Raw genomic sequence first — 27,617 nt, forward strand, 5'->3', positions numbered from 1 at the left:
CCATGGAAATTGAGGGTGGAGATAGTTCTTGGCGAGGCACGCCATGATCTGGTACGTCTCATGATTTTCCTTGGAGGCATCGCCGGATGTGCTGTCTGTCATAGACGGTGCTGTCCACAGGGCCCTCATCAGCAAGCCCTGCCTCTGACTTGTTTTCCCAAAAGTGTAGCTTGATTTGCTCAGTGCCATCTGCACAACCTCACTGGTCACCCCGCCCGCCATCTGTTTACAGGCTGAAAGACAGCTGGCTGCGGTGAGGGGACACTATGTGACCATAGAATGCACAACTTCAACTGCCTCACCCTGGGGCCTTTACATCTGTCTCCCTGGGATCCCAGTTGAGCAGATGGACTTCAGGTTAGCATCCACTGTGACCCTGGCCTATGGTAACAGCAATGACAGTAACAGCAATGCCAGTGATCTAGTGAAGGTCAGTTAGGTACTAGGTACATGCGTATATCTCACTTAATCCTATAGCAATTCTGCAAGGTAGAGATCTTCCTGGTGAGGAAGCTGAGGCTCAGAAAAGTGATATGAATTGCCCAAGGGCTGCAGCCAAGTGGCAGAGCTGGGAACGAAGCTCCCGACTGTCTGAATTCAGAAGTACAGGACCTTCTAAACCAGAATGAATCTTCTCCTCCTCCTGGTGTTCAGGGCCCTTCAGGGGAATGTGCTGACCTCCCCATCTGGCCTCAGCCCCTGCCCTGCCCTCATGTCTGCAGCACAGCCATGACACTCTGCTGGCCCTTCCCAGACACCACACCCCCTTCCAGCCTCCACACCTGTGCCCCGGCGGTTCTCCCCACCAGCTCTGGGAGCAGCTCACAGAGGGACTCTGCCTGGTCTACAAAGTCAGCAAAGGAGTCCATTCCTTGGCATTTCCAGGGGCTAGCACTGCAGAGTCGAGGATGACACTTTTTATTCTAAAGGTATGTGCTCATTGTTAGAGATTCCCAGAGTACAAAAGTGCACAAAGTCACATCCGCCTCTCCTTCTCACACCTCCTCCACCTCCAAATTCCACTCCCCAGAGGAAGCTGCTGGAGATGGGTGGTTTGCTGTGTGTCTCCAGATGTTTTCAAGACCATGAAAAGACACATATGTATTTTTTACAGAAACCACACTTACAGTGGTCTTTCTCCCTTTGCCTCCCCTCCCCTGGCCCGGGAACTATTCTCTGTCTTTCCTTCCTGCCCTGCTCTGTGTCTGGGAGGCCAACCCCTACAGGTGGCAGCACCCTGCCCCCATGGCCTCTGGCTTCTGGGTGGGTTGGCTGGTGGGAGGCACTGCTGGGGGATGGAAGGGCAGGTGGTGAGAGAGGCCAAGGTATGTACTCTGCCTCCTTTCCCTCCTGCTTCTTCCCTAGCTGCCTGTGGTTCTCAAAGTGGTGGGACTCCCCGGAGGCCACAGCTCCAGCTCCCACTGGACTCCGGGAAACTTTTCCCTTCCCCAGGCCCCTGAGGCTGAGGCATGGCAGGGGCCTCCTGAGGTCACTGCTTCCTGGGTGCTCCACAGCTCCATTGATTCCTTTACTCCAGCCTCAGCATGGTGCCTGGCCCCAACACGACACCATTTTCCCACCTTTCTACAGGTCTCATATTAGTACCTTCAGATATGCTCACAAAGCGAGCATGGTGCTTGTGTCTGTGAAAATTATAATCTAGAGTTTGAGACTGAAAAGAAACGGTGACCAGGTAAAGAGGCGAATATGTTGGCAAATGCAGATGGTAGCAAGGGCTGTGGGAGACGTGAGTGAGTTTCAGTGACAGAGACTAGCAGGGCTGACCGGGTGACTTCTGCCCAGCTCTGGTAAAGGTTGGCCAGTCTCCAGTCATACTGGTGGACTGTAGTCAGTTTCACCCAATGCCCCATTGATGGACACCCAGCTCTTGTCCACGGCTGTGCTACTTCAAATAATGCTGCACAACAGACATTCTTGTGCCTACGTCTTCGTACCTTTATCTTAACATATCTCAAAAGGAAGTTCCAGGTATGGAACTGCTGGAACTGTGGTTGGATGGGTTTAAAATTTGCTGGATTCAATAAATGATGCTGAAGGAGTGTCTCTCCCCACAGAGGCCCACGTGAGAAGTAGCCACAACTTGTTTGCCCTCTAAGGAGCCAGAGGAAGTCTTGTCCGGGACTGAGGGCTTGGCCAGAGGTAAGTCCATCCAGCCTTCCTGGAACTGAAGCCACTTCATAGACTTTCCCCTTTTAAAATTACTTCTCCTTTTCAAATCTTTAAAAATATTTAGGCCGGGTGTGGTGGCTCACACCTGTAATCCTAGCACTTTGGGAAGCCGAGGTGGGTGGATCACCTGAGGTCAGGAGTTCGAGAGCAGCCTGGCCAACATGGTGAAACCTCATCTCTACTAAAAATATAAAAACTAGCAGGGCTTGGTGGCGGGCGCCTGTAATCCCAGCTACTCAGGAGGCTGAGGCAGGAGAATTGCGTGAACCCGGGAGACGGAGGTTGCAATGAGCCGACACGGTGCCACTGCACTCCAGCCTGGGTGACAGAGTGAGACTCCATCTCAAATATATATATATGTAATTTTTAAAAATACTTTCTCCTTTTAAGTTATTGTAATGGCAATAACACCACTTGCTCACCATCACCTTTCCTGCCCGCCATGACCATCTTTCTTCCGACGAACCTTGGTGTTGATACAAGAATGTGGCAACCAAATACCAAAGAGATTTTTTTTTTTTTTCTAATGAGATTCAAGAAAAAAGCCTGGAAGCAATGACTCCTTCAAACTTCCCAGTGATTCGGTTTGAATGAGTGAAGTTTTAAGGAGCATCTCCTCTGTGCCAGGTTCATGCTGGTGCTGAACATGAATGAATGAGATGCTGCCCCCCTCCCCTCTTCCCACAAGGAGCTCATGGTCTGGGGAGGAGAGTGGAAGGGAGTGGGAGAAGTGGTTTCCAAACCTGTATAGCAGAATCATCTGGGAGGTTTTCAAAGACACGGGTCCCTGGGGCCCACACTGGGTGCTTTCAGTTCAACAGGCCTATGTCTCAGGAGTGTTCAAAGCCCCTTAGATGCCTCTGACACCCAGGGCAGGGTGTGAGCTGTGGCTGTGACAGATGTCTGCACCAGTAAACAACACGGTTGCTTGTGTAATGTAGAGGTGGCCGACCTGGATGATCCAAGTGTTGAGCCTGGTATTTTGCATGATCCATAGTTTGGGCTTGGAGATTTTAAAAAAAGAAATTATTTTCCAGCTTCTGAAAATCAAGGGATCTCTCATTCAAATCCGGATTTCGCCTCATTAGAAAGATCCGGACAACTAGCTACAATACTTGGCCTATCAGATGGGGCACCTGCTCTCAGTTTTACAGTCTCACCATTCTCTAGCCTCTCTCTCTTTACATTGCCAGTAGCCCTGTTGTCAGTGGATTGACATCACTCTCTTTCTTATGATAGAACTCCAGGAAAATGAGATATTTCTTATCCTCTTGTTTATATCAAAAGCTGAAAAATGAAAGACAGACCAAGAAGTCTAGGTCATTACTTTTTTTTTTTTTTTTTTTTTTGAGACGGAGTCTCGCTCTGTCGCCCAGGCTGGAGTGCAGTGGCGGGATCTCGGCTCACTGCAAGCTCCGCCTCCCGGGTTCACGCCATTCTCCTGCCTCAGCCTCCCAAGTAGCTGGGACTACAGGCGCCCGCCACTACGCCCGGCTAATTTTTTGTATTTTTAGTAGAGACGGGGTTTCACCATTTTAGCCGGGATGGTCTCGATCTCCTGACCTCGTGATCCACCCGCCTCGGCCTCCCAAAGTGCTGGGATTACAGGCGTGAGCCACCGCGCCCGGCCTTTTTTTTTTTTTAATGAAAGAGAATATGTCTTTCTGGAAGTGTTTAATAGACACAACAAATGTGTCAAAAGAATATGAGCCAGCCCATTTTCCTCATTTATTTGCCCAGCCTGCCCTCCAGGCACCAGAGCTCAGATTCCTTTAGTCCCTTTGGTCATTAACTCACCATGTCACCTTGGACACAGTATTTAGTATTTAGTTTCTCTTGGTTACTTTGTAAAACAATGGTTCTTGACTGAGGGAAATCCTGTCCCCTCTGCAAACGTTCAATGTCTTGAGGCATTTCTGGTTGTCACAGTTGGTCAGTTGGAGGGAGGAGCTGCCATGGGCATCTAGTGGGCAAAGGCCAGGGATGCTGCTAGACCTACTGCAATGTACAGGGCAGCCCCCTACAACAAAGAATTATCCAGCCCCAAATGTCAGCAGTGTTGAGGAGAAAAACCCTGCTCTAAAATGAGGGGGCCCAACCCTTCCAGCTTGGATGGCTTTCAGTTTTGGGGGCTTCCAAAGCCTCAGGAGCAGGTGGAACCTGGAAGCGTAAGTAGAATGGGAGGCAGGGAGAGGGCGTTCTGGTCGAGATGGGGCAGGCAGTGGATAGAGGTGGGGAGAAGGCCAGTGCAGGGTCTGACCAGGGAATGAGGAGTGGTCTGGTTTGTCTGGGTATGGGGGCTGTGTAGAGATCGCTGTCCCTGGAGAGGCTGGGGCCCAACTAGTTGCGGTAGTGTTTTCAGTGCATGGGGTGGGATGGAAGTCAGTGTGGCTGTTTACAAGATATGCCAGCTGTCTGTCCTGGGATGTGGTAGGTTGTACTTCCTGCTCAAGTAAAGTCAGGACTAGCAATGTGACTCACCCTTGCCATGGAAGAGTGAGCAGGAGTGTGTATTCACTACCGGGCAGAAGCATTCAGAGGCAGTGCAATGCTTCATGACACTCTCCTTTCCCTCTGACATAGTGAACCTCAGCATTCAGGACTGTGGTTGCCATCCTGGGATCTGGGGCAACAAGAATGAGCTGGAACCTTGCCAACCCACAGTGGCTATGGAAAAGAGATAATTTTTGTGTTTTAAGCTACTGAGGTTTGACGGTTGTTTGTTACTGCAGCAGAACCTGGCCATTGTAACTGATTTAGGTGAAAATCACTGATGTTACCTGAGACGATGGTAGATGGTGCACAGAGGTGACATTAAATTATACTATATTCCTCAGAGAGAACACTCTTCCCTTTATAGCTATGTGGATTACACCAAGGAGTATGTTTCAGTGTGGTGCTAGGTTGTCTTTCATGCTTTTCCAATACGTCCTATGCTCCCTTTTTAACAAAGAGAGAGCAGGCACAGGTTCAAGTGTCTGTATTTAGCTAAAATTTCATAGGGTAGTTTTAAAATGGAATTTAATGTTAGGGTTGCCTTCCATTTATGGTGAGGAATTATAGTTTTCCATTTACGGTAATGATGTAAAATTTTTAAAATTGTAAGTAGAGAAAGTGAGTCATTTTAAAGACTTACATAAAGCTAATAAAATGCAGGTGGTACACATGTACAGCAAAAATCATAAAGCTGACTTGCAAATGACTGAAGCCAGGGGAGTAGAGCTCATAGCCTATGGCAACATCTCTTGCAGAAGTGAAAGCGTTCTGTCAAGGCAAAAAGTATAATAATAATAACAACATAACATTAATAATATTTCCAGACATCCTTCTAACAATAAGGTAAAAGCAGCCATTTCACCATATAATTCAGAGAGGTATATAGTATAATCCTATGTCCACTACACCATCCAGTGCTGGGTGCACAGTAGGTGCCCAACCAATGTCTGTTAAATGAGTATCAGTTAGCAGCACTCGATAAGATTGAAATGCTCTCTCAGATGGGTGGGCTGCAGTCTTAGAAAGATGTTAGCTCTGCTCAGCATGTTGAAAAGCTTCTGCGAGCACATCTGGGAGAAGAGGCAGAGTTCTGCAAACAGAGGTGAAGAAAGCGAGGAACCCCCAGTGTGGCTTGTGGGGATTGGGGATTGGACAATGGGAAGAGAAGCCACAGATGCTGGGGGCTGCTGGCCAGGTGGAAATGGGGAGAAGTCCCATGTGGGGTGTGTGTGTGTTGTGGGGGATTTGGGAAAGGATGATGGAGAACATCATCAACCTCATATGAGTTTTAAAGCTGTTTGCATGAAGTATGCAATGGAAATCCACTCTTTCTCACCCTCCACCACCAATGGTTGTTTCACACCTCCATTTGCACAGTCCCACTCCTGCTTAGCAAGGGAGAAGGGAAGATTGCAGGAATCTTGGAGAGGCTCAGGCTTTCCAGGGCTGTGGAACTGTAGGTAGTTCTATTGTGATTTCAAAAATTGATGAGGCTGTGGCTGCCTCCTGGGTTACACAGAAGCGAGTGAGTGAATGAATGAATGAATGGTGACGATTGCACACAAGGGTGTGATGCACCCAGGGGCACTTCTGACTGTGGCCATGAACAGTGGGTGGCAAGTCTTATTTTTCAATGGTGGCTGTGCCAAGATGTTTCATCACACATGCTCTTCCATAATGTGACCTTGACTCTCCTTTCATGGGGAGGTGGTGTCCATGTCCCCTTGTATGTGTGTATGTAAGCTTGTGATGGCTTTGACCGATAGAATACAGTGAAGCGATTACTGACCAAAGGATAATACGGCTTCCTCATTTTGGGACATTCATCCTTTGAACCCTGGGTTACCACATTAAAGGAAAGCCAAGCCGTATGGAGCAACTGCGTGCAGGTGCTGTGTTCTGCAGGCTTAGCTTTAGGTCATTCCAATGCAGACTTTTAGAAAATTCCAGTTTATAGCTGTCAACTCTCCTCCAGGCTTCAAGTCTTCCCAAGTGAGGTTCCAGACATCTAGGAGCCAACCCTGCAGTACCCTGTCTAAATTCCAGACCCAGGGAACATAGGAACATAATGAAATGATTGTTTTCAGCCGCTAAGTGTTGGCGTAGTTTGTTATGCAGCAATTGGTATCTGAAACACAGCAACTGGGTGCTCCCCACGTCAGAGTCCTCAGCCTACAGCAACAAGCCTGAAACCAAGCAGGGGCTCAATAACAGCAGTTGAGTAAATGGGGAGGGAATATTGGAATGAATCAGCATGCACCTTTATGTTTTATATTTTATTAATTTTATTTCATTATTTATTTTTTATAGAGATGGGTGTCTTGTTATGGTGCCCAGGCTGGTCTCAAACTGCTGGCCTCAAGCGATCCATCTGCCTTGGCTTCCTTAGCAGCTGCTATTACAGATATGAGATGCCGTGACCTACCCAGTATGAACCTTTAAACTCTGTTCATATGTGGGTTTGGTTTCCTTCGGGGACCCCTTCCATCCTCTTACTGTGTGACTACGTAAACACACGGGGCACCAAAGCTTTTGTGGTACCTGGATACTCCAGAACCATGAAACAGTATCTCTTTTTCAAGGGGCCTCTGACATGATTTCCGCTCACAGACTAACTTCTCTGATTTGACTGAGAAATTTGGTAGGAATGAGAAGATTGCCTGCTAATGCAAGTGGGTAAAGGTGAAGGGTATGCAGAAAGGAAATATGAAAGGAAGGGATTTGAACACTCAGCAAGCTATGTTGTATCATGGTATTTTCTACCAAAATGAAGTTCTGTGTAGCAGCTTTATGAGGCCACTAACAAAGTGCACTAAAAAGGCTGTTCACAAACTCTCCCCTCTAAGTCACTACAGCCCACCTCTCCACCCAGCTGCCAGGATTGGGGAAGAAATTGCTCCTGGTGAAATCCACCCACTTTCATTTAAGTCTCAGTCCTGAGTGGAAGCAGTATGTTAGCCAGGATGACTTTTCAAGTGCCGTCCAATGCCAGTTTACTTGACTCGCCCCAAAGCTGCTTTGCAATTGCTGTTAAGAAATCTAACCCTGAAGAGGATTTACAAGGAGCCAGGAGTTTCCCTACCTGGACAACACCAGAGGGCAACGTCCGGCTCAGGCAGTTGTCTCCTGGCTGAGAAGGAATCATGCTGCGTTCCCAAGTCAGGAGGCCAACTTCCTTCAACAGAGGGCCACACCTGCACTTTAATAACAAAATTGCTGCATCCAGGGTCTCGCTGCCCTTGGAGGTTTCCCTGAGATGTGACCCAAGAGGAGTTGGGAACATTTGCTGACTACAACCTGGTGGAAATAACTGAATGAGGCCGAACTGTGCTGTGGGGAAGGGATCTCTTTGAGAAATCCTCACATTGTAAGTCAACTGTGAAAGTGTGTTGTCAACTAGAGCCTTGGAAAGAGGGAGTCTAGTTCAGCTACTCTCTTACTGGCAGGATATTCAGTAAATTTTGAGTTTCTCAAAGCAGAGAAGTATGCAGCTAATTCATTCCTCATAAACTGAAACCTCAATCTTAAAATATGTTTCATGCTGATTTATCAAAAACTGTATAAGCTGGTGGCAACTATGGGCCAACTGTAATGCTACAGCATTGACATTAGATGTTACAAATGTCCAGACAAAAAGTATCATAAAGTCAATAGATAAAAAGTGCAAGAAAATTTCAAAAATATTATACAAATATAGATATTTGGTAACATAATTTTTTTACAGGGGGGAGATGAAAGCTCTTGGAAGTGGAGACAGGAGTCATTACTTGTCTGCAAGAAGATGGAGGAAACTGTCTTAGAGAAATTTCTCTAAAAACAACTGTGTGTGTTGAGGACATGAATTCACAGATACGTCTCTGTGGTTGTACAGTCAGACCCCAAAGGCCATTCTCCAGTCTCTAGACTGCCTGCTAAGGATGTGTATTCTGTTAGCTAGCCACGGTTAACCAGGATGGGGAAGACATGTTTTGGGGAAAGGCTGCATTGCTTGACCCAACAGAAAGGAGACGGAGCATTTGTGGGGAAGCTTGGAAGAGGAATATCATCAGAGGAAGCATGAGAGAGGGGAGCTTGGGCACTAGGCATGTCTAATAAGAACTGGAGGAACTGTTCTATGGGGGATACAGAGTAACATCTCCTGCATTTCCCTCATGGAAAATCCGCTTGAATTTCTTTGTGGAAAAATGGATTAGAGATAAGAGCCTGGGTTGACTTGGATTCTAAATAGAATCTCGGAGTTGAAAGGAATTTTAAGAGGCTACCAAGCCCATCCCCGATAAAATTAGGAACCCTTTCCCAGACACCCCTTGGAGGTATGAGCAGTCTTGTTCAAACACTTCCAGAAGGGAAGGCTCACTTCTTTAGGATGCAAACAGGGCCATGGAGGAACTTCCAGTATTGGGTTTGCTTGTTTGATTCTGAAGGATTGTAAATAATGAAGCAACTATATACTTCATGGTGGGGAATGGAGGGTGTAAAAGTAAAGTCATAGTAAAGTCACAATAGCTACTGGGTACAGGATTCCTGGTAGGTGTCAAGCATTTAACTTATATTATGTCATTAGGGTCTTAAGGAAGGTCATTCCCTCTGTTTTGGAGATACACAAATGAAGGTCTTGCAAGCCCAGCTTATTGTCCTGAATTCACAGAGCTAGTATGAGGAGTGGGGGAGTCAGGATTTGAACTCAGGCCTCTTTGAGGTTTTCACCCCATCACGGTTTCTTCCGTGTTGTCTTTATTAGGAAATCCCCACTCTGCCAACATTTGTGAGAAAACACTTGTTCTGCAGAGTGACAGGCTGGACATTACGGCTGACTGTGGTCTCTGCTCCTTAAGAGGAACAGAGAGAACTTCAACTCATTTGTAAAGGGAACTTGGAGAATATATAATCCCTGAGAAAAGTTTAAAATAACTGAGATGATTTCACTTGGAGAAGACTGATTATATGAGTCTTCAGGTTTATAAAAGATTTTTAGGGACGGTGGCCACCAGCTGTTCTCCATCTCCACTCTGTACAGGAGAGAAAAAATTGGCTTAGCCTGAGGGTGTCTATATGGAAGAATTCCTGACCCTGGAATGGGTCAATGTGGAAAACAAAATAGGACAGACCTTTCTTCTGAGTCCACCAAACGGAGAGCAGCGTCACCCTGGTGTGTGTGGGCTTTTTAGAAGCCAACATCTGCCTTACTAATAGGGCTTACTGGGTGTGTACCTCAGGATTTTGTCTCTGACAGAAGCACACAGGGTTGGAGGGGGAGTGTCGTGGGATCCTTCGAGGATCTTCCCTGACAGAAGCTCCAATGGGGCTTTGTCTCCATTATAGCCCAGTACCGCTTGATAATGATGGACACCACCTAGCACCAGGGGATTATGCTCAGGTACATGCCAGTGTCACCAGCTACGTACCTGGCTGGGGAACACTGGACAAATTATATAACTTCTATGAAGCTCAGTTCCCTGGTCTGAAAAACTGGGGCTCACAGTACCTCGTAGGATTCTGGGAAGAGGTAATGAATTCATCTGTGTGTAGGTCTATAGAGCACCTCCCGCATAGTTGGCACTCAGTACAGGATCATCCCTGCCCTCATCACCCAAATCTCTAGGATTTAAGTGCAGTCTAAATAAACTCAATTTTTTTTTTTTTTGAGATGGAGTTTTACTCTTGTCGCCCAGGCTGGAGTGCAGTGGCGCGATCTTGGCTTAGTGCAACCTCTGCCTCCCAGGTTCAAGCGATTCTTCTGCCTCAGCCTCCCAAGTAGCTGGGATTACAGGCACCTGCCAGCACAGCCAGCTCATTTTTGTATTTTTAATAGAGACAGGGTTTCACCAGGTTGGTCAGGTTGCTCTCGAACTCCTGAGCTCAGGTGATCCGCTGGCCTTGGCCTCCAAAAGTGCTGGGATTACATGCGTGAGCCACTGCGCCCGGCCAATAAGCTCTATTTTTGACAGTGATTTTGAGTTGAAGAGTTCTACAAGATTACTCTCTCAGAGACCTAGTCAAAGATTCAAAGGGTGCAACTTAGATTTGTGATATGGGAGATTTGGTGATGGAGTTTGTGTCCACTCTCTCCACGATCCTCATGTAGTTCAGACCTTGGACCTCGCTGCTCTCAGCCGAGATCTTCCTGGACCAGAGCACCTAGGCTCTTTTAGAGCTCACTTTGCTGCCTCACACTTCAGTCCACCCACCAATGTTGTTGTCTCTAGTCCCCTCTGGGTCTCTAGTCCTTAGATACAGATTACAGGGAGGCTCCGAGTGATCTCATGTGAGACTCAGTTCCTACCCCACCTCCCCCACAGCTTGCCGAATGGCCTCAAGTCAAGACACTTAATCTTCCTGAGCCATGGTTGCCTCATCTGTAAAGTGGAAATGAAAATCTTGCAGCCTGTCCTATGGATGGAATTAGAGCTGGCAGACCACCTGGCACAAGCCTTACATACCGCTGCCAAATAAATGTTGAGAACAGGGCAATGTTTTCAGGATTGTTCCCAGCTCCAGGCCATCGCTGAGCCACGTGGGAGGGTCTCCTGAGTCCACCAGACTCTGAGCATACATCAGCCTGAACTGGCTTAGAAAGGAACCCCCTTTTCTCCTCTCCCTAAGTCCTTCTCTTCCACACAAGAGGAGCTTCCTACCTCCTGCAGAGGTGTTAGGAAGAGAGCTTCTGCAATCTTCTCTTGTTACCTTAGTTTCCCTGGAAACATGCCTTAGTTTCTCTGGAGCTGCTAATCTGACTGGCCAGTGTTGTTCCCAGGGGACAGAGTCACTGTCTTGGCTGACTTCGCTGGCTGCGGCCAGGCCTCTGGCTGGCCCTGTTTTCTTCCTGAGATCTCTGCTATGGACGTTGCCTTCAGGATCTCACACCCCCAACACAGTCTTCCAGGAGGCCAGCCTGTGAGGGGGTGATTAGATGCTTACTTAGCCCTTAAGCCTGCACTATTGACATTCTGCGTGGGCTAATACTTCGTTGTGTGCATCGTGGGGTGTCTAGCAGCATCCCTCTCTATCCACTAGATGCCAGTAGCATCTGCCACCCCAGTTATGACAAGCAAAATTCCCACGTCCCTGGGGTAGGGGGACCAAGGAAGGGGACTCACTCTTGACTGAGAGCCTTCGAATTAAGCTGAGACTGGGATCTATGTTTAGATGGTGAGCCTCCTGTTCATTGTCTCTATCAGGACTAAAAAGAGGGAGAAGGGGATTTTACTCCCACCAACCCTACAACTGTTGACTGTGCTACTGGGTGGCTAAGTGAGAAGCCTTCTTTAGTTTCTAAATAGCAAGAGAGAAGCAGAGAAAGAGGCAGAGAGACAGAGAGAGAAAAAGAGTGAGGCAGAGAGGGAAACTGAGGCAGGAGCCAGCAGCAGAGGACTTCCATGAAAGACCCAAGGGCGCCGGGCATGCAGGAGCAGAGTGAAGAGGCGGGGCTGCCTGTGCCTGGGTAAATATGCTCTCTGGGATGGAAGGGCTGGCAGGTAAATATTAGTGACCATCTCGGCAGCAGCTCTTGGGGCAACCCGAGGCGAGGAAGGACACACAGCCCCTTTTACAGAAACCACATTTTTTTTCCTCCCTCTGTCTCCCTGCCCAGCCAGTCCCTGCGAACTGCCCGGCGCGTCCTGCCTTGCCAGACCCTCTGCCCGGGGTCATCCGCAGCCCGCGGGCGCCATCGGCTCCAGGCACACATCACCCGTGCTGGAACCCCAGCGTGTGGAGACCGGAGGCCAAAGAAACGAAACTCCCCACGCTGCGCCGTGGAGAATAATCACTGCCTTTTCAGAGGCCGACTTCGCCCCCTGCCAAGGCAAGAACTGTCTCGCCACCTTTCAGTTCTTGTTAAAAAGCAGAAGGCATGTCAGGGCCAGGCCGGGCCTCGGGACAGAGAGGGCTTTCTTCGCAGCCCTGGATGAATCTCAGTGTCTTAATGAAAGCTCTTATTAGCCCCAGCTGGCGTCCCATTTTCCCGAGCTGGAATAAAAAATTGCCTCGGTCATCCTTTCCCAGACTAATTTCAAAAGCATAATTACCATCATCATAATTGATTACTATTTATTTTGGTCATTAATAGTCGTGCACTCCCTTGTTAGGTGTGGATTAAATGATCCAAGAACATTTAGGGCACGTGGCAGCTGTATTTGTTTTCCCTCATTCCACACACCTCCCGCCCCTGGCCCTTTCAGGGTAACCCCTTGATTTCATGACACCCAGAGAGTCTCTCCCTGGCTTTAATGTTCAAACTACTGAGCCACGGTGGCTGATCGGAGTTGGGGTGAAAGGCTGGGGGTTCTAAAAGGAATGAAGAGGGTCCTATCGGGGCTAGAAAGGGCAAGAGGGGTGCATCGGCCTAACTTGTCTTGGGGGAGAAACAAAACAGGAGCGGGCAGAAGAAAGAGAACTTTACCATAACCAGAGTGTTGTTTCTTCTCTCTGACCCCTTGAGAGAGGCAGTTCCCAAGCATCTCTCACTTACTTGGGCACTTACTTTGGGATAATTGGTGTCTTTTGCTTTCAAGACAGGGAGCTTGGGAGATGTCTGCGCAAGGATCACAAGGTCCCCCCGAATACTCAAAATAGGTGAGTAGCTCCCACTTTGCCAAAACTCTTCAGGCCCCATCAGATGAACGTCCTGGAGGAGGTTAGCTGAATTCACACCCACTCCTGAGTTGTAGCAATTTTACTTCCACATCATCCCATCTACTGTTGGCTACTTAGCGCCTGAAAGGCTCTGGAGGTTCCGAAAATAAAGACAAGTAAGTAGAGGTTGAAAGCTTTAAATTCCCAGAGGCCAGGCTCTTAAATCTCTTGCCTCCTGCTAGGCAGAGACAATGGGTCCAGGATGGGAATTGGATTCAGGCTAAGCCAAATGAAACCATTCTTCAGGGAGAGGGATTTCGCCAGTACCCAGGGAGAAGCTGATTTCAGAGATGCAGACAGGGTCTTGGTAGCATTTGAGACCCTGCTTTCAGTTATTTCTGAAGCCTGGAGTAGAGACACAGAATAGCTAGACAAGTTGTATCCTGCATAGCTCCAGGAAGTGCCCTTCATCTGGCCACTGTGAGATAGTGGCCATTGGGGTTGTGCAGCATGCAGCCTGCACAACTGTACATGGCGACCCCATCTGGCAGCATCCCTGCTCTTTCTTCAGCTTACTTAGAGCTTACCCTGATACCCTGTTATTAAACTCCCCTTTCTGCCAAATCCAATCGGAATTGGATTTATGCCACTCAAACAAAATGAGACCTAAATAATATGATGAGAATAGTTATCTACAACCACAAAGAAAAAAAAAAGATGTAATATCTTCCCACTCCCACCCCCAGTTCATTCTAGATCACAGGAAGGAAGTACTTGTCTTTCTTAGCTATTAACTCTCAATTACTAGACATTTAGGGAGTCAGGAGTGGGGGTGGAGAAGAAGCATAGATGCCAGTTTGCACCCCCACCCTCAGCCACAGTCCTGGGGTGCCAGGCCCTGTGGAGCTGCCAGGCTGTGCCATGCAGAGGGTGGGTGAATGCAAGCACTGTCTGGAAGGCCTTCAGGCTGGCTGCATGGGAACAGCTGCACAGCCCCATGACGGGTGTCAATATCAAGGGAGACTCCACACTTTCCAGGGGGAATGGGGCTGAGAGAATGCGGGACTCTGGCCAGAAGAGATGGAGCTCCGGAGGGGCGGGGAATGCGGAGAGAGAAGGAAGGTCGCCAGGCAGAATCGCTGCACATCTAGACCCAGGGGAAAGAGAACGAGGAAGAGTCTTGAAGAAACTTTAAATTCACAGTTCCTGCATTCAACTCCTCTAAGGGCTTTCTGAGTCTCCCTAGTGAAATATGTAGACACTAAGTTTCAGGAAAGAACAATAATAAAGGGCATTTTTAAAAGCATGTGTGTGTATGGGGGGCAGGGGGAGCACTGGCAGAGTTCTTAGTGAGAAGACAGAGGGGAAAGAATTCAAGCAATCTCAAGGAATGTAAATAAATGTTCTACAAAGAGATGCGGGGTGGCGCAGGGTCATTAGTGTGGATTTTGAAATCGGCCTCACCTGGCTTTTCAGCACCTAGTCCCTGAGGTCTGCATGATCAGTCCCACTTTACTCTGTTTATTGGAAATAAGTTACTAAGTCTTGGCCAGGCGCAGTGGCTCACACCTGTAATCCCAGCACTTTGGGAGGCTGAGGTAGGAGGATCACCTGAGGTCAGGAGTTCAGGACCAGCCTGGCCAACATGGTGAAACCCCGTCTCTACAAAAAATACAAAAATTAGCTGGGTGTGGTGGCGCGCACCTGTAATCTCAGCTACTTGGGAGGCTGAGGCAGGAGAATCGCTTGAACCCAGGAGATGGATGTTGCAGTGAGCCGAGATCACGCCACCGCACTCCAGCCTGGGCGACAGAGTGAGACTGATCACAAAAAAAAAAAAAAAAAAAGAGTAAGTTACTAAGCCTAGCCCACACTGGAGGAGAGTGAAATTAGAACCCATCTTTTGAGGAGAGGAGTATCAAAGAATCTGTAGGCATTTTAAAGCCACCCCAAAATCTAGGTTAGTCAGCCTTCCCATGATGTCTTCACTTTCAGGATTTTAAGGTTTATCTTCCCAGCAGTCTGCAGGGCACACACCCATTAAGCAGGAGTTTCTCAAGTTTGGCACTATTGACATTTTGTGCACTTAATTCTTTATTGTGGGGGGCTGTCCTGTGCCTTGTAAGATGGTTAGCAGTGTCCCTGGTCTCTACCCACTAGACACCAGTAGCACCCCCATCCCCAGCTGTGACTATGAAGAATGCCTCTAGACATCAGCAAATGTGCCCTGAGTCAGGGGTGGGAGGAAGGCAGTGGCAAAATTGCCTTTGACTGAGAACCATGTTAGCCGACTTTAGAGTTTCACCACAGAATATTTTAATAAGAATATGTACTTATGGCGTAGGCTATAATGCACAATGCTGTCTATAATTTGGTCCAGTGTGTGCCTTTTATTCTCATTTTGCTTTTGTCTAATATGTGTAGTTCAACTAGTTTTACAAGGTTTGTTAAGACAAATTACATTCCTCAGTTTTCCTCCCTCCCATTTTCCCATCTCCAGGAACAATGTTTACGACTCTTTTAGTGTTCACTCCCTATCTCTATATATGGTTGAATTGCTGTTTCCCGCTTTTTCATTTTTGGTATTACCCATTAACTTGCCACTGTGGAAGACAGGGCTTATCACTCCTCCTTCCACTTCTACCTTAAGACTTCCCATCCCCCCACTTTCTCCTTATATTTATATTGTAATTTTGGCTTGAGAAGTATTCTTTGTTTTTTTTTTTTTTTTTTTTTTTTTTTTGAGACAGAGTCTCGCTCTGTTGCCCAGGCTGGAGTGCAGTGGCACAATCTCAGCTCACTGCAACCTCCGCCGCCTCAGTTCACGCCATTCTCCTGTCTCAGCCTCCTGAGTAGCTGGGACTACAGGCGCCCGCCACCATGCCCAGCTAATTTTTTGTATTTTTAGTAGAGATGGGGTTTCACTGTGTTGGCCAGGATGGTCTTGATCTCCTGACCTCGTGATCCACCCGCCTCGGCCTCCCAAAGTGCTGGGATTACAGGCGTGAGCCACCGCGCCCGGCCAGTATTCATTGTTTCTTACAGAGCTTTATATATGCTTGGCAGAACTATGCCTGAGCCAATCTTTTATTTTCCCTGGAATTAAAAATTGCCTTGTTATTGTTACTATTTTTTTTTTTTTGCTCAGTTTTCTCTGTACTTAAGAATTCATCTCCTAAAGCTCCTTTCCGTGTTCCCATTCTCATAAATTCTTTCAATTTCACCTTCCTGAAGAAATCTCACCTGCTCGGTCTGGGCTAGTTCATCTCCACCCCTGTACAGCTGTCAGCCTGGGCTAATGCTTCACCCTTAACCCAGCACTTCCTCTCACCTCTTGTTTCTGTACGTTGTAGTGGGTGAATATTGTCTCCCAAGAACTCATATCCTTCCCAGAAGCTCAGAATGTGACATTATTTGGAAATAAGATCATTGTCAATGTAATTAAATAAAATGAGGTCATGCAGTTGTAGGGTGGGCCCTTAATCCAATATGATTGGTGTCCTTACAAGAAGAAAAGAGACACAGAGCCAGATACACACAGAGGGAACACCATGTGAAGACACAGACGGAAGACAGCCATCAGCCATGTGAAGAGAGAAGGCAGGGACTGCAGTTCTGTTGCCATAAGCCAAGGAATGCGTGGGCCCCACAGAAGATGAAAGAGGCAAGAAAGGATCTTTCCCTAGAAGCCACAGATGGAGTGTGGACTTGCTGCTACCACGATTTCAGATTTCTAGTCTCTGGACTAGAATCTGTTTAAAACTGAGTTGTTTTAAACCACTCAGTTTGTCGGACTTTGTTGTGGAAAACAACAAAACCCTAGGAAATTAACACATATGGCATTCTCTTCCTTTTTTCCTCCTTGGTTTCTTCCCTCATTTGGTAGAGCACACCCTGCAATAGCTTTCTTGGAAAAAGCATGTAGAAGTCAAAATTTTGTTTGAGAGTTTGCGTGTCTGAATTGCGTTTATTCTGCTCTTACATATGAGTGATAATTGGGCTGGATATAGAATTCTAGGTTGGAAATATTTTTTCTTTAAAATGTTGAAGTCACTGTCCTGTTTTTTGTTTGCTTTTTTGTGGGATTTTCTCCCTGTGTGCTATTGAGACTTCTGAATTCATTCTAATTCCTGACTGTGGCATGTGACTTGTTTTTCTCCTTCCCTTCAGAAACTTGGTAGGGTCTTTTCTGTAATCCCAGTGTTCTGGAAGTTTTATATAATATTGTACCTTGGTGTGAGTATATTTTCATCCAGTATGCTGCAATCTTACAGTTCCCATTCAATCTGCAGATTCATCTTCTTCAAATGTGGGAATACTCTTGTTTTGTTGTTGTTGTTTTTGATGAATCTCCCTTCTGCCCTATGTTCACTATTCTTTCTTTTTAATACTCTTCTTATGTGCATGTTGGACTTCTTGGGCTAATCTTCAAGTTATTTTCTCTTTCCTTTTCTTTCCATCCCTTTGTTTTTCTGACTTCCTTTTTTTTTTATTTTTTTAGACAGAGACTTGCTCTGTTACCCAGGCTGGATTGCAGTGGTGCGATCTTGACTCATTGACGCCTCTGCTTCCTGGGTTCAAGCAATTCCCTGCCTCAGCCTCCTGAGTAGCTGGGGTTATAGGTGCCCGCTAATTTTTGTATTTTTAGTAGAGATGGGGTTTCACTATCTTGGCCAGGCTTGTCTTGAACTCCTGACCTTGTGATCCACCTGCCTTGGCCTCCCAAAGTGCTGAGATTACAGGCATGAGCCACCGCAACCCGGCCTCTTTCTGACTTCCTTTCTGAAAATGTTCCTCAGTTTTATCTTTCAATCTTTTTTATAAGGTTTTTTGCTCTTTTTACATTTTTAATTTTCAGCAAATAGTTTTTGTTCCTTACGTGTTCTTGTTTTATAGCGTTCTGTTTTCCTTTCATGAATACAATGTCTTTTCTTACCTCCCAAATGTTATCAGTGATTATTCTTAGAAGTTTTCTTCTTGCATAATTTCTGTTTCTCCCAAGTTGCTCTTATTTGTTTGTTTTGTTCTCTGACTTTCCTAACAGAGGTTTTCCTAAGATGTTTATTCATCTGTGATTGTCTGAATGGGTGGAGTTTCTTGACTGTGAGCTTCATAGGGTGTTACATTGTGCCAGTTTTGAGGGGAGTCTCAGTGATTATCTTCAGATCTTTCTACTTGGGCTTTCCAGACTTTGCAGAGAAGATCCTTCCAACCTACTGTCTAGAGGGCAGAGGCAAGGCTGCAAGCATTCCGGAAGTCCAACAGGGGAGGGAGAGTGGAGGAAGGAGGCGTCTCAACATCTGGTATGTCCATACTCACTGAATACTCCTGTTTCCAATATGTATGATATCCCTGGTCTCAACTAGATCTGATGTCACACAGTCCAGATTTCCTATGTTTTACCCTCCTTGGAAAGCAAATGGTCAGTCTTTTGAAGGGTGGAGAAGGAGCAGACACCTAGCAGTTTGGAGTTGAGGTGGGGATCCAGGCATTTAATTACTTCTAAACAAATTTCAACCAACCTCCATTATTTTATACTCTTTCCCCACAGCTTTGCTCTCAGTTCCAGAAGTACCTGTTGCCACAGACTCCTGAGTTCTTCTGAAGCCAGTGGGTTTATGCAGTGAATGCTCAGAAAAACCCAGGAATCTGTGGCCACAGGTACTGCTGGGACTGAGAGCAAAGCTGTGGGGAAAGAGTATAAAATAATGAAGGTTGCTTGAAATCCAGGGTTCATGGATTTTCCTGCCTGTTGGGTTGGGATTCACCTTTGTTAGGGCTGCTCAGTCAGTTACTTCTCATCCATGAGCTTTCCAGCTCCCAAAGTTTTGTTGTTTTCACCTCTTTCATTTTTTCTTGTAAGTTTATGTCTTTAAAGAAAATCCCATCGTGATGGTTGTAGCAAGTTTTCCTGGGGAACTGCAACCAAATGTTTGCGTTCAATCTGACCTCTTCCTTCAGAGCTCCTAGTTTGCATTTCCAACCTTATCTCGGGTGTTATTTTGGAAAGGAGGTTGAGCACTTCTCGAGTTTGTTCTAAAATGCCTTTCTCAGCATTACTTGGTCCAAAACAGCATTTGGACCTGACCAATCATGTGCTATTCAGCAAAAGCCATACAACATATTTATCTATATAATGTCTTCCTATATTACCAAAGGAACCATATTTCCATCAGATGTGTTTCTCAAGCACTCTGCCACTCCTTTCTACCTCTCCTGCGTTTGATCTGAGGACGGCCCGTTCCACAGGTAATACCGGGAAGAAGTGAAGAAAGCAGAGTCGGGGTGGGGGGAGGTTTGATTATTCATTGGTTTGTGACACACACAGTCAAAAGACAACTTCGGGCTTGTTTCCCTTAAGATGGGCAGGGAAACCTGTTTTGATGCAATGCTGTGTGAGCTGAGACCACAGTAGGTAAAGGAATGAGGCATGCAGATATCTGGGGAAGAGTTTTCAGGAGTAAGAAAGACAGTGCCAAAGTCTCTAGGAGGGAAAGCAGGAGACCCATGGGGCTGGAGAGGAATAAACAAGAGGGGGCGTGGTAGGGGATTGGCTGTTGGCAGGTGGGCATGATTGGACCGTTGACATTTTCTCTGGGTGAGATGGGGAGCCACATGGGGTCTTGAGTAGGGTGACATGATGCCTCTTGTGTCACATGCAAGAGCAGAAGCAGAGAGCACAGCCAGACAGGGCTTCTGGAAGAATCCAGGGGAGATATTTCTCTCGATGGTGTTGGCTTGGACCAAATGGTATCAGTGGAGGTGGTGAGATAGGGTTGGACTTCGGATATATTTAAAGGTAAAGCTGAAAAGAATTGCAGATAAGTTAGATACGAGGTGTGAGGGAAAGAGACATATCCAGGAAGATTCCAAAATTCTTGACTTCAGCCACTGGAAGGATACAGTTGTCAGGTGCTGAGATGGGCAAGACTGGGAGAAAAGCAGGCTTGGAAGGGAAGATCTGGAGTTCAGCTTTGGCTCTGCCAAATTTGCGTTGCCTACTGGATATCCAGGTAGGTGTGCTGAGGGGGTGGGGGATAGAGATGGTAGAGTCAACGAAAACACCCAGTGTTCATGGAGCTCGTCCAATGGGCCAAATGCTGTCTGTGTGCTTTATCTGTATAACTCATTCCATCGCCATGACAATCTGATAAGAGATGATTCTTCTTATGCATGCCAGGAACACAAAGGCACAGAAGATGAAGTAACTTGCCCACGGCCACACGGTTGGTAAGTATTGGGGCTAACTTCCACCTGAGCCATTTGGCCCCAGAGCCTGCCTTTCTAGCCACTGGGGTCTCTGTGTCTCCTCCCATCTGGCCAATGCACTTAAGGTCTTCCAGGTTTGACGTGGGTACCAGGATCTGAAGTATCAGCCTTTCAGTGTTAGCACAAAGCAGGCAGAAAACTCATGCGATTGTTAAAAGTGAGGCTTCTGGGGCCAGTCAGGTCTGGGTGTGAATGTCCGTCATTTACTGACCCTGAGGAACTTATTTTCCCCCTTCTCAGCCTTGGTCCCCTCCTCTGTGAAGTGAGAATAATAATGGTATTGACCTCAGAGAGTTGTTGTGAGGAGGAAGTGAAGTAATGCGTGCAAAGTGCTCAATAGATATTATTTGTTATCATTATTATTCTTAAAGAGCAAAGATTGCAATGTCTCTCAATCGGACTCTCACTCCACTCAATTCCCCAGAAGGTAGTGTGCTGGAAAGGTAGGAATTGTGAAAGGGGTTTGAGAATCAACTATGATAAAGTAGAGCTTGTGGAGTCTTTGGAGAAAGGCTCTCTTGCTTTCAGAAGTCCAGAGTAGTTCAGGGCATTATCCAAATCCCATGATGTTAGGGGTACTTGGTGGCCAATAAAACCACCCCCATTCTTCTGGCCCAATGGGCTCTGTCTTAATCTTCATGACTCCAGGGCCCCAGGGCTCAGGGCTACAGGAAGGAAAAGTACTCCAGGCTGAAGATGGGACTCATAAAGAAGCTTCCTGTCTCCCAAGGCCATCTCAAACTTCACTCAGAGGATGCTGGGGGTAGCTTTAATTGGCCCTCCTCGCCACACGCGGTGCAAACAGCCCTGGAATGTTTCCTTAGATGAGGCCGTCTCTGACTTACAGGAATAAAGAGTCACCTTTAATTCCTGGGTCCAGAAGGAGCCCAAATGAATTTAGAACAACTAAAGACTCAGTTCAGAGGGACACTGAAAAAAGCAACCAATAATTACAGCTTGGGAGCCATGAAGTAGCCCAAAGAGACCGAGGTCTGTCCATAGGAGACCAAAGAAAGAATTTTGTTTACCAATTTTTCATTTATACTCCACCTACTTCCCAAAAGAATTTGGGGTGGCTGACAGGAGAAAGCAAACAAGAATCCCGGCTCTAAGACTTTACCCACTGGTAAAGCTCCTGAGATGGATCTAATAAAGTGGGTTATTTTGCCACGAGAAAAAAGAGACAGATCATGGAACCAAACAAGTCACATGGAGGGACCAGCTACTCATTTGCATGACGCACATTGAGAAGAGAAACCATTGTGAACACTTCTTTTTCTAGCATCATCAAAGAATGAAATTTTTCATTCAACCTTGCCATCTTTAAATGACTGATTCCTCTCTGTTCTGGGCTCCGAAATACTACCGTTAGAATTCTTAGTGCAAACGCGACACAAGTAATTGCATCGATTTATCAGGTGGCTTCCATTGTGGCCGTTGGTGCAGGACTGGATGCTGGTTTGGGGTAGAGGAAGCGAACATCTAGATTCTCCAGACTTCTAGGGAAAGAAAGGATGGGCAGGCATGGGGTACAGGTGGGGTTGGTCTGACTGCAGAGTGGGGAACATGGAGAAAATAGAAGGTGGGCAAATGCATGGCAGCAAGAAACTGACATTTTTTGAGCATCTATTTTATGTTTAGGCCTTTCCAATGTTACCTCTACAACAACCCTGTGAGAATGGCATTTTTACTCCTAATCATACGAAGGAGGAAACTGAGGCTCAGAGAAGTGCAGTGATGGACCTAACTCACTCAGGAGAGAAGCAAGTTCTGACTTGTTCACAATGAGATCCAGCTCCAACCGATTTAAAATCGTGGGGAGCATGACACTTCTTGGCTGCTGTGGCATCCTGGAAGTCCAGACCTGAGGGTGCTTTAGGGATTCTCTTAGTACAACCTTCTCCTTTGACAGATAAGGAAGCAAAAGCTCAAGGGCCTGAGGCCTCTTGCCTACTTTGTGATAGCAGAGGCTCAACTTGAAAGTCAGCTTTAAATTCCAGGGTCCTGCTGCTTTCTGGATGGCCACCATGACACCACCTCACACAAACCTCCCTAAAATTCTCCCAGCCCGCAACCATTTTCAAAAATGGAAAGTTTCAGCAGCCACACCTGCTGGGAAGTGGAGTCTATTTTGTGCTGGAAGCCACTATATTTACCATACCTGACCTTGGTCTACATCAGACAACATTCTTCAGGATCTAGAGACCGTTACAACCAGCCTTCAAGGGGGCAGACGTGCTTCATTGTGTCAAGTATTTGCAGGCATAAGTGGCCTGGGGCTTGGAAATATTTTCAGCATAGTATGCTTTTTGTTGTTTATGGGATTGGATATTTTAGGTAAATATCAGCATGCATTCCAATGCAAACACAGACTTGCCTATAGCACAGGCAAGGACATTAAAATTAACATCACATTCACTAGTGTTTGTTCTATTGACAAACACTGCCCAATTTAGGTAGTTGGGATATTAGAAAGCAACTAGTTTAACAGCCACTGTGGTGTATATTAAATGCAGTTAGGTCAAGGGCATGTAACTAGTTTTTGGTGGGCGGTGGGAGGACCCATCCATGTAGGTGTTCAGAACTATGCAACTAATGAGCATATAATAGCAGCCAAGAGCTGCCATTCTCTGAGTGTCTTGCCTGTTCTGGGCACTTCTTCCCCTACAAGCTATCATTTATTTTTATTTTTATTTATTTATATATTTTTTTGAGATGGAGTTTTGCTCTTGTCGCTCAGGCTGGAGTGCAATGACGTGATCTTGGCTCACTGCAACCTCCATCTCCTGGGTTCAAGCGATTCTCCTGCCTCAGCCTCCTAAGTAGCTGGGATTACAGGCACCCACCACCACACCCAGCTAATTTTTGTATTTGTAGTAGAGACTGGGTTTCACCACATTGGCCAGACTGGTCTTGAACTCCTGACTTCAAGTGATCCACCCGCCTCGGCCTCCCAAAGTGCTGGGATTACAGGCATGAGCCACCACGCCCGGCCCAAGCTATCATTTAATGGGAGATAGTCAGATTGCCTGGGTTCGCCTCTCGCTGTGCCATTTACCAACTGTGTAGCCCGGGGCAGTTTACTGATCCTCTCTGTCCCTCTGCTTTCCTCATCTGTAAAATGGGGATGAATCGTGGTCCCTGCACTCATGGCAGAGTTGTGAGGGTGAAGTAGATTCTCCTTCTGAGGCACTGGTGCAGGAGTTGGCTTATAGGAAGCACTCAGCACGCATCCGCGCTTGTTCCTACCTTGTGACTTTCATAACTATGCCATATATGTTTTCTTTGACTCATTTAATAAGTGTATGCTATGGGCTGGCAAAGGGTTGACACACCACCCAAAGCCACATGGCTAGATTGAGGCAGAGCTGGGACTTGATCTCAGACCTTTGTAACTGTGAAACTAAACCCAATGAAGAAGCAGAGCAGGCCCACCTGTGATTTCAGGCAGGTAGATGGGGGACCCAGGAAAAGTGGCTTTGAGCACTCACCTGTTTTTTGTCCTGGGGTTGTGGGAGACAAATTTAATGAGAAGAAATACTGTTGGCCCCAGGGGAACTCCACTTTGGAAAAAAACTACTCTTGTGGCTAGGAAAACACCTCCATGTGCTCATTTGACTTGGAAAGTGAGGCCCTCTGGGCAAAGCTGATGACATGGACCACGTGGCTCCTTCATATAGCAAATATTTTGTAAAATCCCCTTACCATCTTGCCACTAAATAAAATGTATTTATACATATAATCCCTTCCCAAATTCATATAATTCCCAGGTTGTAATAGGAAAGAGACATTAAAGTAAGGTGATTTATCATAAAATAATATGTGTGCCAATACCTAGGCACTGGGCAGGACCACCTGAGAGGGTATATTTAAAGTGATCAGATACATGCTCCAAGTTACAAAGAATGTGTTGGGATTGAAGAGAAGTTAGACACAAATCAGTTGAAGATTGTTGCATCTTTTCCTTAATAGTTAACAGTTTGAGAGCCAGTGAAGTGTGTGTGCACATAAAGCACAGAATTCCCTAGGATGCGGCCGGGCACAGGCATGTTATTGGGGACTCATGTGCCTCGGGCAGCTTCCTTGTCAGTGGTATTTTTTCTGAAATGGTGATTCAAATCTTGGTAAAGTTCCAAATAAAACAAAATGTGATCTTCTCTAAATTTACACAGGAGTTACATTCTGGGAAACTCAGTGTGTATTAAACAGTGCAAAAACGACTTGGTGTTTATGTGTAAGGCTGAGTTGGACTCTAGTCAGACAATTATAAACAGGTTTCTCACCTACATGGGTGTCCGATGGATCATTCAAAAGTATTTGGGAGATGGATTGCACATCAAAATACGAAAGGTAAAATTATGACGTTTGCAACGTTTCTAGAAAGACACAAAGGAGTAGGCAAAGATGACTTAGACAGGACTAAAACTTATTAACCATAAAGAAATGGTTGATGGATTTTATTACTTGAAAATTGACCCATCAAATGACACTCTTATGAGAGTGAAAAGACAAGTCACAGAATGAGAGAAAGTATTTGCAAACCATATATTCATCAAAGAAGTCATAGCCAGAAGAGAGCTACAAATTAGTAAGAGAAAAAGCCTACAACTCAATAGAGAACTGGCCAGAAGACTTGAGTAGGCCCTTTGCAAAGGTTGATATCTGAATGGCCAATGAACATAAGGTGATACCACAGCATAGTTTCCAAAATGGCTAAAATAAAACAGGCAAATAATACTAAGTGTTGACGAGGAAGTGGAGCAATGGGAATTCTCATATTGTGCAAGTGGGAATGTCAAATGACTAAACTTTGGAAAATTCTTTGCAGTATCTACTAAGGTTGCACCTATGCCTGTCCCATGATCTGGCTATTTATTCTTAGGTATATTCCCAGAAGAAATGTGTACATCTGTGCATCAAGAAACATGTGAAAATGTTCAAGGCAGCATTGTTTATAATAACTTCAAGCTGGAAACAACCCATGTGTCCATCAAGAACTATACGCAGCAACATGAAGAATCCACAAACATGAAAATGAGTGAAAGAAGCCAGATGCAAAAAAGGGCACACAGCGTGATTCCATTTATGAGAGGTTTAAAAACAAGCAAAACAAATTGCAGTGCCTAAAAGAGCAGCAGATGTACACAATTGTGCTGATTTTTCTCTCATTTAAAACGGTTCCACAAGTAGTTAGTCCAGGGCTGGTGTCATGGCTCCATGGTCACTGGGGCATTGTGTTCCTCCACGATTTCTGCTTCACCAGGCTTAGCCTTTGCTTCCATCCTCTAGTTTGCCTCATGGCTCAAGATGGCTGCTAGAGCTCCAGCTGTCTCTTATGCATTCCTGGCTGTAGAATGGAGGAAGGAGGAAAGGGTAACGGGACGCTTTACTGGCTATTCTTGTTTAAAGGAGCATCCTTGATCATACTTAATGAGAATCTGGAGTAATTTTCAGGAGATCTCAGAGAGGGTACAAGAGCAACAGGGCCTTGCAAATACAGAAAAGTAGCCTTCCAGGCAATTATAATAGATCTGGGCAGGCATTTTGCAAAGACTATTGCAGGAAAATGGAGCTTATTTAGAAATCGATAGTTGAGTACTCTGTGATTTTAAAATGAGCACAAGGAGACACTGTTGATGCCCAGAATCCTCTACAATTAGCAGCAAGAGCTCTGGAAAACCCAGGGAGGGGGTAGAGGGAAGAAGGTTAGGTTCAGTTGAATCTGGATGCTGGAAGAGAAAGAGGATCCAGCCAGATCCAAACAGACAGCATCCTCAGATGCACCTGCCCAGGGGGCCCCCCACTCCTTAGCAATGAGGGTCTGGTGTGAATGCTGGTTCACTGACACGTGACAAGCACACCTGTGTCCCAGCCATCCCACCCAGGCACCAGGTAAACATCTTCCCAGAGGGCTGACAGGCCACTGAGCCCGTTCCCAGGATACTCCGGACTCTCCCCAGGGCAGTAGCCTCGTTACAGAATTCTATCTGTAAATTTAATCAGTGCAAAACCATATCCATGGTTTTGTGGCGGGATGTAAAGATGACAGCCTTCCTCCTGTGGGGTTGAGACATTCTGGAGCTTCGTGAAAATTCACCATCTGGCTTCTTCCTGGCTGAGCATGGGGACAACCTTCCCATCCAGATGTCCCCATGAGGCAGCACGTTGCCACAGGTACTTGGGTTGGATCTAGCCCCGCTGCTGAGCTTCCTGGGCAAGCCCGGGCAAGTCAGCCAGCACCGTGGGCCTCAGATCCCCCTTTTAAAAGGTGAAGAGGAGAGTACCTGCATCACAGAGCTGTCACAAGGATCAGAGGTATATGTGACAGGAGGAATCGCATGCAGCACTGGACATTAAATGGCGCTATCATGGTGTGGCAGCACACTTCTGAGGCTTCTGGAGTTGTCGTGTTTTGTTAATAATTTATTCAGCTCTCATTCACATACCATACAATTCACCCCCTTAAAGTGTACAATTTGGTGACCTTTAGTGTATTCAGAGCTGCGCAGCCATCATCAGAATCAACTCTAGAACATTTTCATGACCCTGGGCAGAAACCCTGCACTTCACAGCCACCAGCCCCAGCCCCTCCATCCCCCAACCCCAGCCCCCCAAGTTCCTCTGTTCGGTGAATATCTTCTGAATATCTGAATGCCAGCAGTGTTCTTGGTGCTGGTGGGAAGCTCTGTCCCTGCAAATGCAGGGCACGGGCAGGAGTACAAAGAGGGGACCACATATCACAGGTCTCAACAGTTCAGAGTTCAAATCGAGCTAACAGCTGTTAAGTAAAATAGGTCTTAAGGGCTCCCTTAACAAATGTGCCTTTCCAACCATCGGGAAGGCCAGGTTCAAATTCCAAGTTGTTAGACGTCTTGAATCTCTGGTTGGAACGTGGCCCCGTGGGGAGGGTCATCTCGGCCAAGGGCAGCCCACTTCTCTTCTCATGCTGGCTGCATCACATGCTGTGAGGGACCCTTGCATGGTGTGTGACACCCAGGCTCTGTTTTTACCTGCTGTGAACACCCATCCTTGGCCAGGCGGCAGAACAAACCTGGGGCACATCCGATCCTGCGGTCCCTGGAAATAGG

General features: G+C 46.5%; 1 long non-coding RNA gene across 2 annotated transcripts, besides 3 other annotated features; it reads left to right on the forward strand.

The window, feature by feature from the left end:
- The first annotated feature begins 221 nt into the window (after nucleotides 1-221).
- On the forward strand, nucleotides 222-12,479 carry LOC105377733 (uncharacterized). Of its 2 annotated transcripts, none has more exons than XR_941247.2 (3): nucleotides 222-357; nucleotides 2,076-2,160; nucleotides 12,278-12,479. It is a non-coding gene; the product is annotated as an uncharacterized LOC105377733 (long non-coding RNA). The 2 variants fall into 2 exon arrangements; XR_941248.2 differs by lacking the exon at nucleotides 222-357 and adding an exon at nucleotides 666-929.
- Nucleotides 1,314-1,813: an enhancer, noted in NCBI's record as "H3K4me1 hESC enhancer chr5:172971371-172971870 (GRCh37/hg19 assembly coordinates)". NCBI's record gives its function as "activates a minimal SCP1, AML or CMV promoter by ChIP-STARR-seq in primed H9 embryonic stem cells {active_cell/tissue: H9 hESC(primed)}" and the evidence as "EXISTENCE:reporter gene assay evidence [ECO:0000049][PMID:30033119]".
- Nucleotides 13,239-13,967: an enhancer, noted in NCBI's record as "NANOG-H3K4me1 hESC enhancer chr5:172983296-172984024 (GRCh37/hg19 assembly coordinates)". NCBI's record gives its function as "activates a minimal SCP1, AML or CMV promoter by ChIP-STARR-seq in naive H9 embryonic stem cells {active_cell/tissue: H9 hESC(naive)}" and the evidence as "EXISTENCE:reporter gene assay evidence [ECO:0000049][PMID:30033119]".
- Nucleotides 25,694-26,893: an enhancer, noted in NCBI's record as "MED14-independent group 3 enhancer chr5:172995751-172996950 (GRCh37/hg19 assembly coordinates)". NCBI's record gives its function as "activates an origin of replication core promoter dependent on BRD2, BRD4, P300/CBP and CDK7 cofactors, and independent of MED14, by STARR-seq in HCT116 cells {active_cell/tissue: HCT116}" and the evidence as "EXISTENCE:reporter gene assay evidence [ECO:0000049][PMID:35650434]".

Source organism: Homo sapiens, chromosome 5, assembly GCF_000001405.40.
Source record: "Homo sapiens chromosome 5, GRCh38.p14 Primary Assembly".
Taxonomy (NCBI): Eukaryota; Metazoa; Chordata; class Mammalia; order Primates; family Hominidae; genus Homo; species Homo sapiens.